At 40.0% G+C, this 18919-nt stretch overlaps 1 protein-coding gene across 3 annotated transcripts in view; it reads right to left on the bottom strand.

Moving 5' to 3' along the window:
* Nucleotides 1-3522: 3522 nt before the first annotated feature.
* Nucleotides 3523-18919, bottom strand: part of COPS4 (COP9 signalosome subunit 4) — a 40636-nt gene continuing 25239 nt past the window's right edge. Inside the window, exons 7-11 of one of the 3 annotated variants that reach the window (NM_001330727.2) lie at nucleotides 16095-16265; nucleotides 12788-12903; nucleotides 10819-10903; nucleotides 5988-6135; nucleotides 3523-4044 (exon numbers count right to left, since the gene is read on the bottom strand). In NM_001330727.2, the coding sequence (NP_001317656.1) occupies nucleotides 4017-4044; nucleotides 5988-6135; nucleotides 10819-10903; nucleotides 12788-12903; nucleotides 16095-16265 (548 nt within the window). In that variant the 3' untranslated portion in view covers nucleotides 3523-4016. The remainder of the gene's footprint in view (nucleotides 4045-5987; nucleotides 6136-10818; nucleotides 10904-12787; nucleotides 12904-16094; nucleotides 16266-18919) is intronic. The other 2 variants (NM_016129.3, NM_001258006.2) reach the window with 2 other exon arrangements.

Raw genomic sequence — 18919 nt, 5'->3', positions numbered from 1 at the left:
GAGTTTCACTCTGCTGCCCAGGCTGGAGTGAAGTGGTGTGATCTCAGCTCACTGCAACCTCCACCCCCAGGATTCAAGTAATTCTCCTGCCTCAGCCTCCCAAGTAGCTGGGATTACAGGCATCCGCCACCATGCCTGGCTAATTTTTGTATTTTTAGTAGAGATAGGGTTTCGCCATATTGGCTAGGCTGGTCTCAAATTCCTGACCTCAGGTGATCCACCTGCCTCAGCCTCCCAAAGTGCTAGGATTACAGGCGTGAGCCACCACGCCTGGCTGACACTCTGGTTTTAAATAAGCATTTTATCATTCTATTTCTCTCCTCTCTTAGCATAACAATTATATTTCTTTAAAAAGTTTTTTAATAGTGATTTAGAGTTTGCAATATACATTTACAACTAATCTAAGTCAAGTTTCAAATAACACTATACTGTGTCATGGTTGTGCGGATACTTCATAACAGGGTATTCCCAATTCCTTCCTCCCATCACTTACACTCCAGTCATTCACTTCAGTTATCCCTAGGCTATAGCTATCCACACATTGTTGCTATAATTCCTTTAAATAAAGTTATCTATTAAATCAATTAAATTTTTTAAAAAGATTTTACCTTCCTGTTTTTTTGCTCTGATACTCTTCCTTTCTTTATGTAGATCTGAGTTTCTAATCCATATCATTTTCCTTCTCTCTGGAAACCTTACTTTAACATTTCTTGCAAAGTATGTCTCCTGGCAAAAAAAGAATCCTTTTTTTTTTTTTTGAGACAGGGTCTCACACTATCACCCAGACTGGAGTGCAATGGTGCAATCTCAGCTCACTGCAACCTCCACCTCCCTGGCTCAAACAATCCTCCCATTTCAGCCTCCCAAGTAGCTGAGACCACAGGCACACACCACCATGCCTGGCTACTTTTATATTTTTTGTAGAGACGGGGTTTCGCCATGTTGCCCAAACTGGTCTTGAACTCCTGGGCTCAAGCAATACACCTGCCTTGGCCTCCCCAAATGTTGGGATTATAGGTCTGAGCCACTATGCCCAGCCTTAAATTTCCTTAGTTTTAGTCTTCATTTCTCCTTCACTATTTCTTTTTTTCAATTTGATTTTCTCTTTGCTTTTCTCCTTCACATTTGAAGGATAATTTTGCTGGATAAAATCCTATGTTTGTGAAGTTTTTCTTTTAACATCATAAATATTTCCATTCTGGCTCTTGCTTGCATGATTTCTGACAAGAAATCCAATGTTATTCATGTTTCTCTATATGTGTTTTTTTCTTCTGGCTTCTTTCAAGATTTTATGTTTTTGGTTTTCTACAGTTTAGATATACATCTAGGTGTCAATTTTTTGGTAGTTATTCTGCTTGGCCTTTTCTTAGCTTCCTGGATCTGTGGTTTAGTGTCTATTATTCATTTCAGAAAATTCTTAAACATTATTTCAAATTTTTTTTTTTTTTTTTTTTTTTTTGAGAAGGAGTCTCCCTCTGTTGCCCAGGCTGGAGTTCAGTGGCGTGCTCTCGGCTCACTGCAAGCTCTGCCTCCCGGGTTCATGCCATTCTCTTGCCTCAGCCTCCCGAGTAGCTGGGACTACAGGCGCCTGCCACCACTCCTGGCTAATTTTTTGTATTTTTAGTAGAGACGGGGTTTCACCATGTTAGCCAGATCTCCTGACCTCGTGATCCGCCCACCTCGGCCTCCCAAAGTGCTGGGATTACAGGTGTGAGCCACCGTGCCCGGCCTATTTCAAATATTTCTTCTCTTCCTCTTTCTTTTCCTTCTGGTATCCCCATTACACATGTGACACGACAGAGTCTCGCTCTGTCGCCCAGGCTGGAGTGCAGTGGCGTGATACCAGCTCACTGCAAGCTCTGCCTCCCGGGTTCACGCCATTCTCCTGCCTCAGCCTACCAAGTAGCTGGGACTATAGGCACCCACCACCACTGGCTAATTTTTTGTATTTTTTAGTTGAGACGGTGTTTCACCGTGTTAACCAGGCTGGTCTCAATCTCCTGACCTTGTGATGTGCCCGCCTCGGCCTCCCAAAGTGCTGGGATTACAGGCGTGAGCCACCGCGCCTGACCACATGTGACACCTTTTATATTGTTCTCCAGTTCTTGGATATTCTGTCCCAATTTTTTTTTTTTCATTCCTTTTTCTCTTTGCATTTCAGTTTAGGAAGTTTCTATTGACATATTATCAGGCTGTTTCTTTCCTTGGCCAAGTAGACTAATGATAAGCCCATCAAAGGCATTCATTTCTGTGAGAGTGTTTTTTTCTTTATTTCTAGCATTTCAAATCTTTAGAGTTCCCATCTCTCTGCTTATATTACCGATCTGTTCTTGAACTTGTCTATTTTTTTCCATTAGAGTCCTCAGCATGTTAATCATAGTTGTTTTAATTTCCTGGTCTGATCATTCCAGCACTCCTGCCATATCTTAGTCTGGTTCAGTTGCTGGTATAGCTCTTCAGATTGTGTTTTTTCTAACCTTTTAGCATGCTTTATAATTTTTTGGTTGAAAGCCACACATGATGCATCAAGTAATAGGTAATGAGGCTTTTTTTTTTTTTTTTTTGAGACAGTCTTGCTCTGTGTCCATGACTGGAATGCAGTGGCACAATCTCGGCTCACTGCAACCTCTGCCTCCCAGGTTCAAGTGATTCTCCTGCCTCAGCCTCCCAAATAGCTGGATTACAGGCGTGCACCACCACACCTGGCTAATTTTTCTGTTTTTAGTAGAGACGGGGTTTTGCCATGTTGCCCAGGCTGGTTTTGAACTCCTGGTGTCAGTGATCCGCCCACCTCAGCCTCTCAAAGTGCTGGGATTACAGGCATGAGCCACCGCACCCAGCCAGTAACTAGGCTTTTAATATGAGGCTTTATATTAATTTGGATAGGAGCTGGGCTGTATTTGAGGTTTACTGTAGCTGTCATTGTTACCATTTTACTTTTTTATATATATTTATTTTTACCATTTAAGAAAATATCTAAATAATTACCATTTTAGTGTTCCTAGCAGTCACTGACCAGCAGCCTCTTCTCCCAGTAAGCTGATCCCAATTGTGATTCTCTGTATTTGCCTGTCTCTCCAGGGTTTTGAGTGGTGGTTTGTCCTATGACTTTAATTCTTCCATGGATCTAAGAAAAGCCATTGATATTCCAATCTGTACAGTTTTTTGTTTGTTTTTGCTGTGAGGAGGGATGTGATGACTTCCAAGCTCTTTACATGTTGGAGCTGATACTAAAAGTCACCTACATACTTTTTCAAGTCCTTTCCCCATGTTTTTCTATAAAGCTCAGCTAAAATAACCCTCTGTGGAGGCCTTCCCTGACTTCTCTCTCCTAACTGAAGAGCTACTCTCTGTGTGCTCTAGTAGCTGGAGCAAATACAAGTATTAAACTTACTGTCTCTTGGCTCTTTGACTCTTTGGATGCCTGGAGAACAGGCATTATGACTCATCTTTGTATTTCTAGCATAGGGCATAAATCAATGTCTGCTGAACCGAAGGAAAAGGGAACAAAATACTCTTCGCTAACTAAAAACAAAGTACTACTTTTATTTGGCTCATTTCTCCATTTATTAGAATAACCACATTTGGAGAGGCATGAAGCACTTAAGTTTTACATGACTACAAAGTTATCACAAATCTCAAACTTTTTAGCCACAGATATTTCACCTCTGTTTAAAGAAAAAGCTTTCAAAACATCTGAGTTAGCTTAATACACAGAGACCCTGAAATATATGGGAACTACATATTTTAAATGCTTGTACTTCCTGCTCTAATAATGTCTTCTTTAAACGGAATCCAGCATAAAAGGGATTGAAATGTATAAGGTCATGATGCAAATGCTTTGGAGATAGTGAAACTGATCTGCACAACATGGAAAAAGATGTCATGTGCACAGAAGTTCTGCAAGGATTCACTGAGCCATCTGGGCTTCCATGGCTTGTGCTGTCCATTCTGGTGCTGTTTGACTAATTTTCTCCAAAAGGTTATTCACTTGGAAACAAAGTGATTGGATCTGCTTATCCCACGTTGGCAGGGCTTCTCGTGCTAAGGGGAAAAAAAATGTACAAAATTAAAATTATTCCTTTGTATTCACAGCAACTGTGAGTTAAAAGATATATACTTTTTACATGCCTATTCTTGGAAGAGGCATGTTCCTTTTAAATACCTAAAAAACAGAAAAAAGCTATTCAAAAAAAATAAAAACAATAAATACTTTTCTTTTTTGAGATGGAGTCTTGCTCTGTCACTCAGGCTAGACTGCAGTGGCAGGATCTCGGCTCACTGCAACCTCCACCTCCTGAGTTCAAGCGATTCTCCTGACTCAGCCTCCCAAGCAGCTGAGATTACAGGCACCTGCCACCGTGACTAATTTCTGTATTTCTAGTAGAGATGGGGTTTCACCACCTTGGCCAGGCTGGTCTTGAACTCCTGACCTCATGATCCACCCGCCTTGGCCTGCCAAAGTGCTGGGATTACAGGCATGAGCCACCGCGTCCAGCCAATACTTCTATTAGCTTTTAAAAGTCTAAAACTCAGGCCAGGCATGGTGGCTCACGCCTGTAACCCCAGCATTTTGGGAGGCCGAGGCAGGCAGATCACCTGAGGTCAGGAGTTTGAGACCAGCCCGGCCAACATGGCAAAACCGTGTCTCTACTAAAAATACAAAGATTAAAGAATTAAAAAAAAAAAAAGAAAAGTAAAAATACAAAAATTAGCCGGGCGTGGTGGCGGGCGCCTGTAATACCAGCTACTCGGGAGGCTGAGACAGGAGAATCACTTGAACCCAGGAGGTAGAGGTTGCAGTGAGCCAAGATCGTACCACTGCACTCCAGCCTGGGCGACAAGAGTGAAACTCCATCTCCAAAAAAAAAAAAAAAAACCTCTAAAAAATCTTGGCTAATAAAACTAAGCTATTTAAACAGCAGTTAAGAAAAGTGTTTTTTCTTTTTTTAAATTTCTAGCATTTCAAAAGTACCCAAATTACTGGCACAAGGTATAAAACAAATACATACAGATGCATGTTATTACTACTACTAGTGAAAACGAAATAAAACCGACTAACCCAACAACCTCAACCACAACAAAAAAAGACTGAGGCTGTCTTTTCATCACCAAGGCTTGCAGATTCCTAAGACACTGCCACCTACTGGGGAAAGCAAGTCTGTTTACACATTCAAATCTGTACTTGACTGAAGGATAAATATCATACCATTTAAATCCCTCAAAAAAAGTCATCTTGAATCCACCAGGGTTTTCTCTTACCAACACTATATAGTTAGAAATAAAAAATTGAGAGGAATGTCCCATTCAAAACAGTACCAAAATTTACAAAAAAGGGCACATATTTAGTGAAAAAGCAACCTATAAAATCTTTTTTTTTTTTTGAGACGGAGTCTCACTCTGTCATCTGGGCTGGAGTGCAGTGGCGCGATATCAGCTCACTGCAACCTCCACCTCCCAGGTTCAAGGGATTCTCCTGCTTCAGCCTCCCAAGTAGCTGGGACTACAGGCATGCACCACTACGCCCAGCTAATTTTTGTATTTTTAGTAGAGACGGGGTTTCACCATGTTGGTTGGCCAGGATGGTCTCAATCTCTTGACCTCGTGATCCGCCCGCCTCAGCCTCCCAAAGTGCTGGGATTACAGGCGTGAGCCACTACGCCCAGCCGCAACCTATAAAATCTTAATAAAGGGCAAAAGATAACTTGAGTAGACACAAATCACATTCCCAGGTGGAAATATACAATAACATAAAAATATCAATCCTTCTCCTTTAATAAATAAATTTAAAGAAATCCCAAAGACAATCCCCCTTTTTTTTTCTATTTTGCTTTCTAACCAGGCCAAAATTATTAAAGTTAACATAAAAAAATTGGTGTTTGAGAATGGCCAAGATAATTCTGAAAATGAAAACCAGTGGTGGAATTGAGGTATATACATCCAATGAAATGCTATTCGGCTATAAAAATGAATGAAGCACTGATTACCTGCCATGACATGGATGAACCCTAAAGATACTATGCTGAGTGGAATCAGCCAAAAGGTCACATGTCACATATTGTATGATTCCATTTATATGAACTATCCAGACTAGGTAAATCCAGAGACAGAAGATGGATTGGTGGTTGCCAGAAGCTGGGGGAAGGAAGGAATGGAGAGTAACTGCTTAAAGGGCAAGGGCTTCCTTTGGAAAGATGAAAATGTCGTGAAACTAGACAGAGATAGAGGTTGTACAACATTGTAAATATACTACAGGCCATTGAATTGTTTACTTTAAAATGGCTACTGTTCTGTTAGGTGAATTTCCTTCTTTTTTTCTTTTATCCTGTAGAAATGGGGTCTCGTTATGTTGCCTAGGCTAGACTTGAACTCTTGAGCTCAAGCAATTCTTCCACCTCAACCTCCCAAAGCATTGGGGTCACAATCATAAGCCACTGTGCCCAGCCCATGTGAATTTCAATTTAACAAAAAAAAAGGAGTGGGAAGCAGGAGTTGCTTTACCAATACTAAAATTTATTATAAATTTGTTTATTACCATATTATTGCAGATCAGTGGAACCAGAGTACAGAAATAGATGCAAACATATATGTGGAACCTAATCAGATATGTCAAAGATCACAATTTAATCAGAAAGGATGTTTTATTTAATAAATGATACTTGGATAATTGGCTATTCACCTAGAAAAAAACAACTAGACCATAACCTAAAATTATCCACAAAAATGAACTGTAGATGGATTAAATTCCTAAATGTAAAATAATATTAGAAAAATTTAGGAAAACACTAGTTTTATTCCAAGGTAGAAGAGTCTTTCCTAATCAATACAGGAAATTCAAAAGCCATAAAATAAAACATTGACCTATTTGAGTGCAAAAAAATTTAAAAATGTGTTTATGTTATGTATTGTCTTCCAGAAGAAAACCTGACAGAATTCGGCCGGGTGCAGTGCAGTGGCTCATGCCTGTAATCCCAGCACTTTGGGAGGCTGAGGCAGGCTGATCACCTGAGGTTGGGAGTTCAAGACCAGGCTGACCAATATAGAGAAACCCTGTCTCTACTAAAAATACAAAATTAGCCGGGCATGGTGGTGCATGAGCGTGGTGGTGCGTGCCTGTAGTCCCAGCTACTTGGGAGGCTGAGGCAGGAGAATCGCTTGGACCCAGGAGGTGGAGGTTGTGGTCAACCGAGATTGAGCCATCGCACTCCAGCCTGGGCAACAAGAGCGAAAGAAACTCCATCTCAAAAAGAAAAAGAAAAAGAAAACCTGACAGAATGGAAAAAAATATTTGTGACACATATTACAGATAAAGTTAAAATTATCAGCCAGGCAGCCAGGAGCGGTAGCTCACGTCTGTAATCCCAGCACTTTGGGAGGCCGAGGCGGGCGGATCACGAGGTCATGAGATCAAGACCATCCTGGCCAACATGGTGAAACCCCGTCTCTATTAAAATACAAAAAATTAGCTGGGTATGGTGGCGTGTGCCTGTAGTCCCAGCTATTCAGGAGGCTGAGGCAGGGGAATCCCTTGAACCCAAGAGGTGGAGGTTGCAGTGAGCCGAGATTGCGCCACTGCACTCCAGTCTGGCAACAGAGCAAGACTCCCATCTCAAAAAAAAAAAAGCCAGGCACAATAGCTCATACCTATAATCCTAGCAGTTTGGAAGGCTGAGGCAGGAGGATCACTTGAGGCCAGGAGCTCAAGACCAGCCTAGGCAACACCACAAGACCCCATCTCAAGAAGAAAAACAACTAGCCAGGTGCGGTGTGTACACCTGTAGTCCTTCCTAGCTACTAGGGAGGCTGAAGCAGGAGGACAGCTTGAGCTCAGGAGTTTGAGGCAACAGTGAGCTATGATCATACCACTGCACCTCAGCCTGGGCAACACAGCGAGTTGTCTCTTAAGAAAAAAAAATCATTATAACAAAAGCTACAGCAAATTGATACTGGAAGGCCAGAAGGAGAGTTGTGAGGGAAGGGAGGAAATAGACAAGCAACATTAATGCACAGAAGGGGAAATGCTATATTACTCATCATATGCTGTGTTTGTTTATTCAACACTTATTTCTCATTTACAATGTGCCAGACACTGGAACAGATGTTGGATGTACCATGGAAAATAAGACAGACTTAATACCTATCACCAGGAAGCTTAACTTGGAAACAGAAACAGACATTTAGACAAATAGTTACACAACTGAAAATAACTAAAATAAATTCTAGGAAGAAATTCAGGCTGACATGAGAATATATAATTTAAAGCCATATCTAATCTGGAAAGTCAGGAAAATCATTACTGATTAAGGATATTCAAATTGAGACATGGGACAAAGAGAAGATGGCTGGAAAGGGGTAAATATTTCAGAATGTTTGATAGGGGGAAGAATTTGCAATGCTGAAAAAAATAAAAAGAAGACTTATGCAAGAGAAAGCTAGAAAGGACCAGGACCAGCTTTTGGGAGACTTTGTAGAACTTTGTTCTACAAGCAATGGGGAAGACATTCATTACAGTGTAAACAAAAGAATAACATGATTTAACTATTTGTTTATTTCTTTTTTATGCTTGCATTTTTTAAAAGAAAATAATCACTCCAGCTGTACTAGGGAACTGAACTAGAAAGGAGCAATTGTAGATATGAGAAGGAAAGAAAGAGGTTATTTCTCAACACCTGAAGAGGTTATAATAGTAGGGTTCAGAATAGGTTGGTGATAGTAAGAAATGAAGAAAAGGACCCAATACAGTGGCTCACACCTATAGTCCCAGCACTTCAGGGATTTTGGAGGTTGAGGTGGGAGGATGGTTTGAGCCCAAGGATAAGGAGTATTGGAGAAAGCTAACAATACAGTTTTGGGATGGCTGGCTGGTTAGTCGTGGGGGACACACAAGAAGGGAAGATAATAAATTCAGTTTTTGATATGTTCATGCTAAGATGCCCATGAAGCAATCAGGTAGAAACACCTTAGTAGTAAACTAGAACCATGGGGCTGGGACTTAGAATCACTCTAGAAAGGTAAATGTAGGCATTGTCTATGCAGAGACAGTAACTGAATCAAAGGAAATAGATGAGATTACCCATGGAAACTCAGTAGCATAAGTGGGGAAAGGTCTAGGATTAAGCCCTAAGTAACTAGTATTTAAACTTAAAGGTACTACAGATTCTACAAAGATGACTATGAAGGATAGCTGGAGATATAAGAGGAAAAGTAGAATCGGATGGAAGAGATGACAAAAGTCAAGCTGTGGTGGTGGGGTGAAGGTTCAAAAAGTAGTGAGAGATCAACACTATTTGATATGTTGAAAAGTCAAGATGAGATTTGGAAGATAAAAGGATTTTCATTAAAATGGAGGAGTCCTGAGGATGTGTAAATATTGATGGAAAGAAGCCAGTAGGAAAAAAAGGATAAAATCAGACAAAAATAACTGCTAACCTCAGGTTCCTAAACCAGTGTTTTTTGGTGGGAGGGGAAAGGGAAAGGATCAGAGAAAAGGTCCAAAGCCCAAGTGGAACAACCAGACAGGGTGACGAAAACCATCTGCAGTAAAACACGAAGGAAGAAAAAGATTCACATCTATATCTAAAATTAAAGTGTTTCTACATCTGATAAAGAAGTTAAAATTTCAAATTGAATGAGAGAAAAAAATAACTAAAAAAGGAAATTAAAATATTTCATACTGATGGCTTTTTTCCCCTTTGAAATAGGAAACAAGGTTTTCTACTGAGAATAAATGGGGAGAAAAGTCAGAGATTTAAGAAAAACCAAACCTGAAATAGTCATTGCAAAGGAGGAAAAAGAGTGGACTACAGAAATGTACCATGAATCCTATGTAGTGCTGAGGACCTGTGACCTCGAATTTAGAGAGGTATCAGCCTGTCTGATGCCCGACTCTTCTCCAGCACAAAAAAGATTATGCTAACTGGAAGAAAACAGAAGAGTCAATGGACCAGAAACTCCAATAAGGTCAAGGAAGAATTGAACTGAGAGTAACGGAGACAGACCACAGACCACTAGAGAAACAAGAAAAAGGTTATGGCCAGAGTGAGATATTTCAAATAAAAATTTTGCAAGTGGAAAAGTTCTGGGTACAGCAAGGTCCAGGGTGTAAATGAGGTGGGAATAAGGAGCTGGGAAGGTATTAGACAATGAAAAAGTCAAGGGATCCACTTACCTGTCTGCCTCCATTAGTTTAATGAGTTGCTGAATAGGAAATGCAACTGTCATTTCCATATGCCTGATACATGGTATGTGGTCAATAAATATTTGATGCATAAATGAATGAACTGATACAACAATTTGAGTTTCAAATTTTTCCTTAACATAGAAAATCCTGCAGTAAGTAGATTCATGAATATAATTTTTTTTTTTTTTTTTGAGACAGAGTCTCGCTTTGTCACCCAGGTTGGAGTGCAGTGCTGCAATTTCGGCTCACTGCAACTTCTGCCTCCTAGGTTTAAGTGATTCTCCTGCCTCAGCCTCCTGAGTAGCTGGGACTACAGGTGCCTGTCACCACACCTGGCTAATTTTTATATTTTTAGTAGAGGCAGGGTTTCACCGTGTTGGCCAGGCTGATCTCAAACTCCTGACCTCAAGTGATCCACCTTTCTTGGCCTCCCAAAGTGCTGGGATTACAGGCATGAGCCGCCATGCCCAGCCTCATGAATATAACTTCTTAAAAATTATTTTAAATTATTTCTTTGGGAAATAAGCTCATTCCAGTAGTAAGATTCTGAGTCAAAGGAAACTGTCCAACATGTTTTAATCACAAATATAACAGTTCACTGCTATTTCATTATGACAGAAATACACAAAACCTCTTACTTTCAAAATGAACTATTCCATCAATCTGGTCAATAAATCCATTCATACGTCCTTCGGTTATCATTTGAGATGCTATCTTTTCCGCCTATTGGGGGAAAAAAAAACTCTCAGAAACTTTATCATATCTTTTAGTTATTCACATATGAAAAGAGAACAGAAAGCTTCTGGTTTAACTACCATCACTAAACTTTACATATACATTAATCTGCCACTAGAAGAGTAAATCTTGTAAATCTGGCTATTTCCCAATTCTTGCTGTACATAAGCCATTATTTTAAGTTAACTGGGATCTGTTTTTCTTGTGAGATTTTGGACAAGAATATAACTATCATTTTCTCCTCTGCTCAAAAGCAAACTATCAATTTTTCTTCTTACTAGGATCCATACCTCAAAAAAACCCAAACAAACTAGTTTTTCTTATTTTATTTCAATTTCCACAGTATTTGCTACCCCAGAAACTCTTTAAAAATTGAAAGGTAGATGGTGAAATTCAAAAAGAAATTGAAAGGGTTTAAAAGACAATTAAAAGAAAGCAAAAGGTCTACTACCTAACTCCTGAAGACATACTTAATGTTTACTGTGCATAAGCAAACTGGATTGTGACCTGGTCATTTATTAATTTTGACCATCTTCACAATCAATCCTATCAGTCCTGAACAGATTGTGACTAGCATTTATTGTTAAAAATATATTCACCTCCAATAGTCTCAGCAAGAGATCATACCTTAAAGCCTCAAGAAGAAAGTCTCTTTTAATGGTAACTTAAACCTTGACTCCCAAATTGTTCTTCCTTTACTGTGTATTGAATGTGTACAAGTAAAGGAATTGTTAGAAAATTCTAATTAAAATTTCATTGCCATGCCAGGCACAATGACTCATGCCTGTAGTCCCAGCACTTTGGGAGGCCGAAGCAGGAGGATCACTTGGGACCAGGAGTTCAAGACTAGCCTGGGCAACATAGCAAGACCCTGTTTCTTTAAAAAAAAAAAAAAAAAAAAGGGCTGGGCGTGGTGACTCACACTTGTAATCCCAGCACTTTGGGAGTCTGAGGCAGGTGGATCATAAGGTCAGGAATTTGAGACCAGCCTGGCCAACACAGTTCCTCTACTAAAAATACAAAAATTAGCTGGGCGTGGTGCTGTAATCTCAGCTACTCAGTAGGCTGAGGTAGGAGAATCGCCTGAACCTGGGAGGTAGAGGTTGCAGTGAACCGAGATTGCAGCACTGCACTCCAGCCTGGGCAACAGAGCTACAGTCCGTCTCGGGGGAAAACAAACAAACAAAAAAATTAGCCAGGCGTGGTGATGTGTACTTGTAGTACCAGCTACTTGGGAGTCTGAGACAGGAAGATTGCTTGAACCCACGAGTCTGAAGCAGCAGTAAGCTATGATCACGCTACTGCACTCCAGCCTGGGTGACAGAACAAGACCCTGTCTCTAAAAACAAAAAAAAATAAAATAAATAAACAGACAAAAAATTTCACTGCCAGAGAAAAAGGGATGCGACCCATAACTGCACGACTTTTAAGGTTTATAAATTAGCTAAAAGTAAGGTTGCTTAATTTTATTTAAAGTTAAGAGAATATTTTGTAAATGATACCTGCAATACTCTCTGAATGTCATTGGTACTTTGTTGGATTTAAACAGACACCAAACAAAGACATTCTCAGAAAATGGGTGTCATAACCTGAAACTCCTGAAAGACTTCTATTCTAGGTCACTTTATCACAAAACACAATTTAAAACACCAAAAAACACTAAGACAATTCCACTAATAAACACTAGGCCTATTTTAACTTCTAAAGAATGTATTTACTTGTGGCTTTTTAGGTGTAATTCTGTTGTTGTTTCCAACATTTATTTTGTTGGAAGATAATAAATGTTGTTTCCAACATTTATTTTATTTTCTCATTATTTTAATAGTTTCATCTCTTAACTTTTTTTTAAATGTATTGGAATCAAGAAGATACCTTAGCTGCAGGGATCTCTAAAAGAGCTCCAAGTTCTTCGAAGGTAATATTATTATATAATTTGCTTGCAGACAACAAATTGTGTTCAATAACAGCTCTGTCCAAGATGCTGGAACCTTAAACATAAATAAGACAGTTACAAGTTTGAAACTAGTTTTATACTCTAAAAAGATGCATCATTTTTTCTGAAAATGTCTAGGCACGTAATAACTCATCCTCTTTAACTCCTCTGATCAAAATTTTAAAAGTAGCCAATATATGATGTAGTTTCATTAATGTACAATTAAATAAAAATAACATTTAGCAAATGAGTGATTGGCAAGTAATTATTAAGCATATAGATCTAACCCCTTTGGGTTTAGAATCTTGCTTCTTCAGGCTATCAAATTAACTTTTTTTTTTGAGACAGAGTTTCATTCTGTTGCCCAGACTGGAATGCAGTGGCACAATCTCTGCTCACTGCAACCTCCGCCTCCCAGGTTCAAGTGATTCTCATGCCTAAGTATCCTGAGCAGCTGGGACTACAGGTGTGCACCACTACACCGAGCTAATTTTTTGTATTTTTAGTAGGGACAGGGTTTCGTCATGTTGGCCAGGCAGTTCTCACCTACCCTCAAGTGATGCGCCCACCTGGGCCTCCCAATGTGCTGCGATTACAGGCATGAGCCGCGGCACCAGCCCATTAACTTTTCTTTCTACAAGCATAAACTTTTACTAGCAAGCAGCAGCACAACAATCATGCAACCTGTTCTGCAAGCTTGATAAAGTGATCTCTATTCTTTTGGGAACTCCAGGAGCATCAAACCAAGGCAAATGTGAGAAATATCCAGATCCAGATCCAGGATCCGGCTAACCCTCCTGAAAGATCAGGCATAGAATCCTCTTTTAAGTGAGGTCATACAGTATCTCATAATGTTCTGGACCCAGGGTCCTACTTTGAATGTATTAGACCACTGGGCTCACCCAATGCTTACATATTTCTGCTGAACATTTAACTACTATAATGAGTGCAGGGGACAAAATATACTTGGAGACTTCAAGGGAAGTATTCTGAGAACCTCTTTTTCTTACAATGCCTCACTTCTCCTTTTCCAGAATTCCACCCACGATCTGCTAGTTTTTCACTTAACTCCTATCTCCCAGTCTACCTTGCTGCTTCCTCCTTCTTTTCCTTCTCTGAAATATTAGAGGGTTTAATTTTGCACCTTCATCTCTTTTTATCCTACATTGTCTCAATACCATCAAAATGCTGATAATGATCACATATCTCTAATCTAAATCTCCCTTTTGAATTCAGACTTACACAGCCAACTACCTAAATTAAATATCCAATCCAGTAATTTTATAAATATCTCAAATTTAATATGTTCAAAAAAGCAGGCAGGTGCAGTGGCTTACCCCTATCATCCCAGCACTTTGGGAAGCCAAGATGGGAGGAACTGCTTGAGCCCAGGAGTTCAAGACCAGCCTGGGCAAAATGGAGAGATCCTGTCTCTACAAAAAAATTTAAAAATTAGCAGGGTGTGGTGGCACATGCCTAAGCTTCTGGGGAGGTGGAGGTAGAAGGATCCCCAAGAGGTGGAGGCTGCAGTGAGCTATGGCATCATGCCAGCGCCAGCCTGGGCAAAAGAGTGAGACCTTGTCTCAAAAAGTAAAAAAAAAAAAAAAAAAAAAAAAAAAAAAAGGGACTGCTTAACCAGGCACAGTGGCTCATGTCTGTAATCCCAGTGCTCTGGAAGGCTGAGGTGGGAAGATTCTTTGAGGCCAGGAGTTCAAGACTAGCCTGGGCAACACAGTGAGACCCCAACTCTACAAAAAATTAAAATATTAACCAGGCATGGTGGTGTGCACCTGCAGTCCCAGTTACTTTGTTCCAGGCTGCAGTGGGCCATGATTGCACCAGTGCACTCTAACCTGGACAACAGAGCACGACTGTAACTAACAAAAAAAAAAGAAAAAAGAAAAACTTCTCTCCTCAGTCTGTTCCTCTCCCAATCTATCCCATGTCAAAAAGTAGTACAGCAGGCAGAGGGGAGGCAAGAATAAGGAGTTATTGTTTAATAGGTACAGAGTTTCAGTTTGGGAAAATGTAAAAGTTCTGGAGATGGATGTTGGTGATGGCTGCACAACAATGTGAAAGTAATGCCACAGAACTGCACACCCAAAAATGGTTAAAATGGTAATTTTTATGTTTTATATATTTATCACAATTTTTTTTTAACAAGGTCTTACACTGTCACTGAAACCGCAGTGCAGTGGGGCAATCACGGCTCACTGTAGCCTTGACCCCCTGGGCTCAAGCAATCCTCCTACCTCAGCCTCCCGAGTAGCTAGAACCACAGGTATGTACCACCATGCTTAGCTGTTTTTCTTTATATTTTGTAGAGATGAGGCCTCACTATGTTGCACAGGTTGGTCTGAAACTCCCAGGCTGAAGAGATCCTCCCGCCTTAGCCTCCCAAAGTGCTGGGATTACAGGCATGAGCCACCATGCCCAGCCATAATATATATTTTTTAAGTAGTACAGCAGTATACCCAGTTAAAAGGATTGTATTGCCAGGCACTGTGGCTCACGCCTGTAATCTCATCACTTTGAGAGGCTGAGGGGGGCGAATCACCTGAGGTCAGGAGTCCGAGATCAGCCTGAGCAACATCCGTCTCTACTAAAATTACAAAATTAGCCGGGCGTGGTGGCGCATGCATGTAATCCCAGCTACTTGGGAGGCTGAAGTAGGAGAATCACTTGAACCCGGGAGGCAGAGGTTGTGGTGAACCGAGATCGCACCATTGCACTCCAGCCTGGGCGACAAGAGTAAAACTCTGTCTCAAAAAATAAAATAAAAAATAGGCCAGGTGTGGTGGCTCATGCCTGTAATCCTAGCACTTTGGGAGGCCGAGGCAGGCGGATCACGAGGTCAGGAGATCGAAACCATCCTGGCTAACACGGTGAAACCCCATCTCTACTAAAAGTACAAAAAATTAGCCAGGCGTGGTGGCGGGCGCCTGTAGTCCCAGCTACTCGGGAGGCTGAGGCAGGAGAATGGTATGAAGCCAGGAGGTAGAGTTTGCAGTGAGCCGAGATCACGCCATTGTGCCACTGCACTCCAGCCTGGGTGACAGAGCAAGACTCTGTCTCAAAAAAAATTTTATAAATTAAAAAAAAAATTTTAAATAAAAACAATTCCTCTTTTTTTATGAGGAAGTGTTATGTAGAATTATTATTAAAAGATACTTCTAATTTAACATGATTTTCACTAGTCTGTACCTAAACATTGACTACCATATACACATAAGACAGGATCATTACCATCAGCTGTAGTTGCTTTTTGGTGAGGCATCAGCATGGCAGCAAATTCTTGAAGTTGATTTCCTCTGATGATCCTATCTAGATACATTTTCTCTAGGATCCCATAGGCAGCAAGTTGCTGGCACCTTTCATCCTTAAAAAGAGTAGCTAGCATCCGAGAACGCTGCTGCCCTAAGAGAAATAAATGAGCATCAAATTTCACAATGTTATTTTCACAATGTTTCTTCAGGAAAAAAAAACCTATCTTATGACCTCATTTTTGTCTACTAAATATACAGCCAGTATTCATTATTCATGGTAATTATGGTCTGCAGTCACTGCCGACGCTGAATTATCAAACACTAAACTGCTGCTCCTATGGGAATACAAAGCTAGGTTCCTGTGAGCATCTGGTCACAACATTTTTGTCAATGAATTAATCTGTAACCTTGTTTTATGTGTGTTTCTGTTTAGAGACATCCTATTTAATACATATTGTTGATTCATTAACATTGAACTCACAGCCAACACTATAAATCATACTTAAATGAAGCTATCTAACACACATATTTTCTCCATAGGGCACTTAAGAACACCCCCCAGACAGCGCTTCAGCACTATGGCTGGGTGCCATTTTAAACAGCAAAATCACTGGTAACAGAACGGAAGTGTGAAAAACATGATCTTAAACAGACCATGAAAAGGACATTTGTGTACAGTATAAAAGTAAAAAAACAAGCAGGGAATCTACATGTTCAACCTCGGGTGGAAACATGTGTCAGGACATTCAAATGTTTTTCCACCCTGCACATATCTGCAAATGACAGTGGAAGTGCTGCAAGTATTGACTTTGAGGATATGAATACATTTTACCAAGGAGGATAATTCAGAAACATGGAATCCACAGATAAAGAAGAGCAACCATACAGTCATACATGAAGAATTTCGGGCCAAAATGTTACAAGCGGTTGGAAGAACAGGTGATTTCTATTTTCCTTTTCTTATTTGTACTTCTACAATAAACATTAATTATTTCGTTAATAAAAATTTATAAAAGATGAAAAAATATTTATCTGATAGGAGACTTAATATTCACAGTTTCAATTTATATTTTTAAGGAACTTTAGTGACAACCGATAACATTAAAAAAATCAAACTCATGAAAATGATCCTATCAACAACGGTTTTCTTTCTAAATGTATTTCTAGCTCTTTATACCAAAAGGGCCTAAACACAATGACACCCAGAAGCAATGAGCATATCTACTGTCCATATCTTGGTAGTCCATTAAAAAGAACTAGGGATCCTTGAAAAATAGCTGATTTCAAGTCTGAGGCAGGCAAAACACAAGATAAATCCAAGTTCCTTTTTCTGCTAATTCGCAGGGAAGTATTCAAAGATTAATGGGGCCATGTCAAAAAGACGTAACTGGCCAGGCACAGTGGCTCACGCCTATAATCCTAGCTCTTTGAGAGACCAAGATGGAGGGACTGCTTGAAGCCAGACTACTCTGGCCAACATAGCAAGACCTCATCTCCATCTAAAAAAAAAAAAAAGACATAATCTAGTCATGATTGGAACAATTTAAACATCAAAAAGAGTAACAATTGTAACTGATTGTCATACCCTGAATAAATAAAAAGCTGTGTCAAATATACAAGAATGTTCATAGCAGTTCTATTCCTAGCAGCCAATAAGAAATTAAGATAAATGAATTGTGGTATATTCATACAATGGAATACTAAATAACAAGGAAAATGAAGAAAGTACAAATACACATAGCCATAATGATAAATTTCATAAATTTGAGCAAAAGAAGACAAGAATGAATACACTATATGATTTCATTTATAAAAAAATAAGAAGGCTAATATATACTAGTCATTATTCTTGTAGGGTTAGGAGTTGGGGCTAGTGACTGGAAGAAAGCACAAAGAAGGAGGGGTGTTGGCAATATTTTGTTTCTTGTTCTGGATGCTGGTTACATGGAGGTGTTCAGTTTGTGAAAATTCATCAAGCTGTATACTTTTCATGTGTACTTTTCCTGTGTACATATCATACCAACAGAAAATATGCAGAAAAAAAAGTAAAGTAAAAAGTTCAAAATAAAAGTACAAAAAAGGAAAAAAAAAGTTCATGCAGAAGAATAGAATGAGCAAATCACCATTTTGTAACATAGAATGTAATGAATGACCCAAGCAAGGATTATTATTATTATTATTATTTTTTTTTTGAGACAGAGTTTCACTCCTGTTACCCAGGCTGGAGTGCAATGGCGCGATCTCAGCTCGCTGCAATCTCTGCCTCCCGGGTTCAAATGATTCTCCTGCCTCAGCCTCCCAAGTAGCTAGGATTACAGGCACATGCCACGACGCCCGGCTAATTTTGTATTTTCAGTAGAAACGAGGTTTCTCCATGTTAGTCAGGCTGGTCTCAAACTCCCGACCTCAGTGCTCCGCCCACCTCGGCCTCCCAAAAGTGCTGGGATTACAGGCGTGAGCCACCGTGCCTGGCCTCAAGCAAGGATTCTTAATGGCTGCTAACTTATTATGTTAAAGAAAGTAGAAAACAGAATTTTTCGTGTCATGGAATGCAAAAAACTTATTGATATGGTTTCAGATTCCACATTGCAACTAATCTGTAAGAAACTATACCATCTGTCGGCCGGGCACGGTGGCTCATGCCTTTAATCCCAGCACTTTGGGAGGCCGAGGTGGGTAGATCACGAGGTCAGGAGATCGACACCATCCTGGCTAACGCGGTGAAACCCCGTCTCTACTAAAAAATACAAAAAATTAGCCTGGCGTCAGGAGAATGGCTGAACCTGGGAGGCGGAGCTTGCAGTG

Source organism: Homo sapiens, chromosome 4 (assembly GCF_000001405.40).
Source record: "Homo sapiens chromosome 4, GRCh38.p14 Primary Assembly".
Classification (NCBI taxonomy): domain Eukaryota; kingdom Metazoa; phylum Chordata; class Mammalia; order Primates; family Hominidae; genus Homo; species Homo sapiens.
Note: the sequence above shows the minus strand (reverse complement) of the source record. Positions and strands in the feature narration are given on the sequence as shown.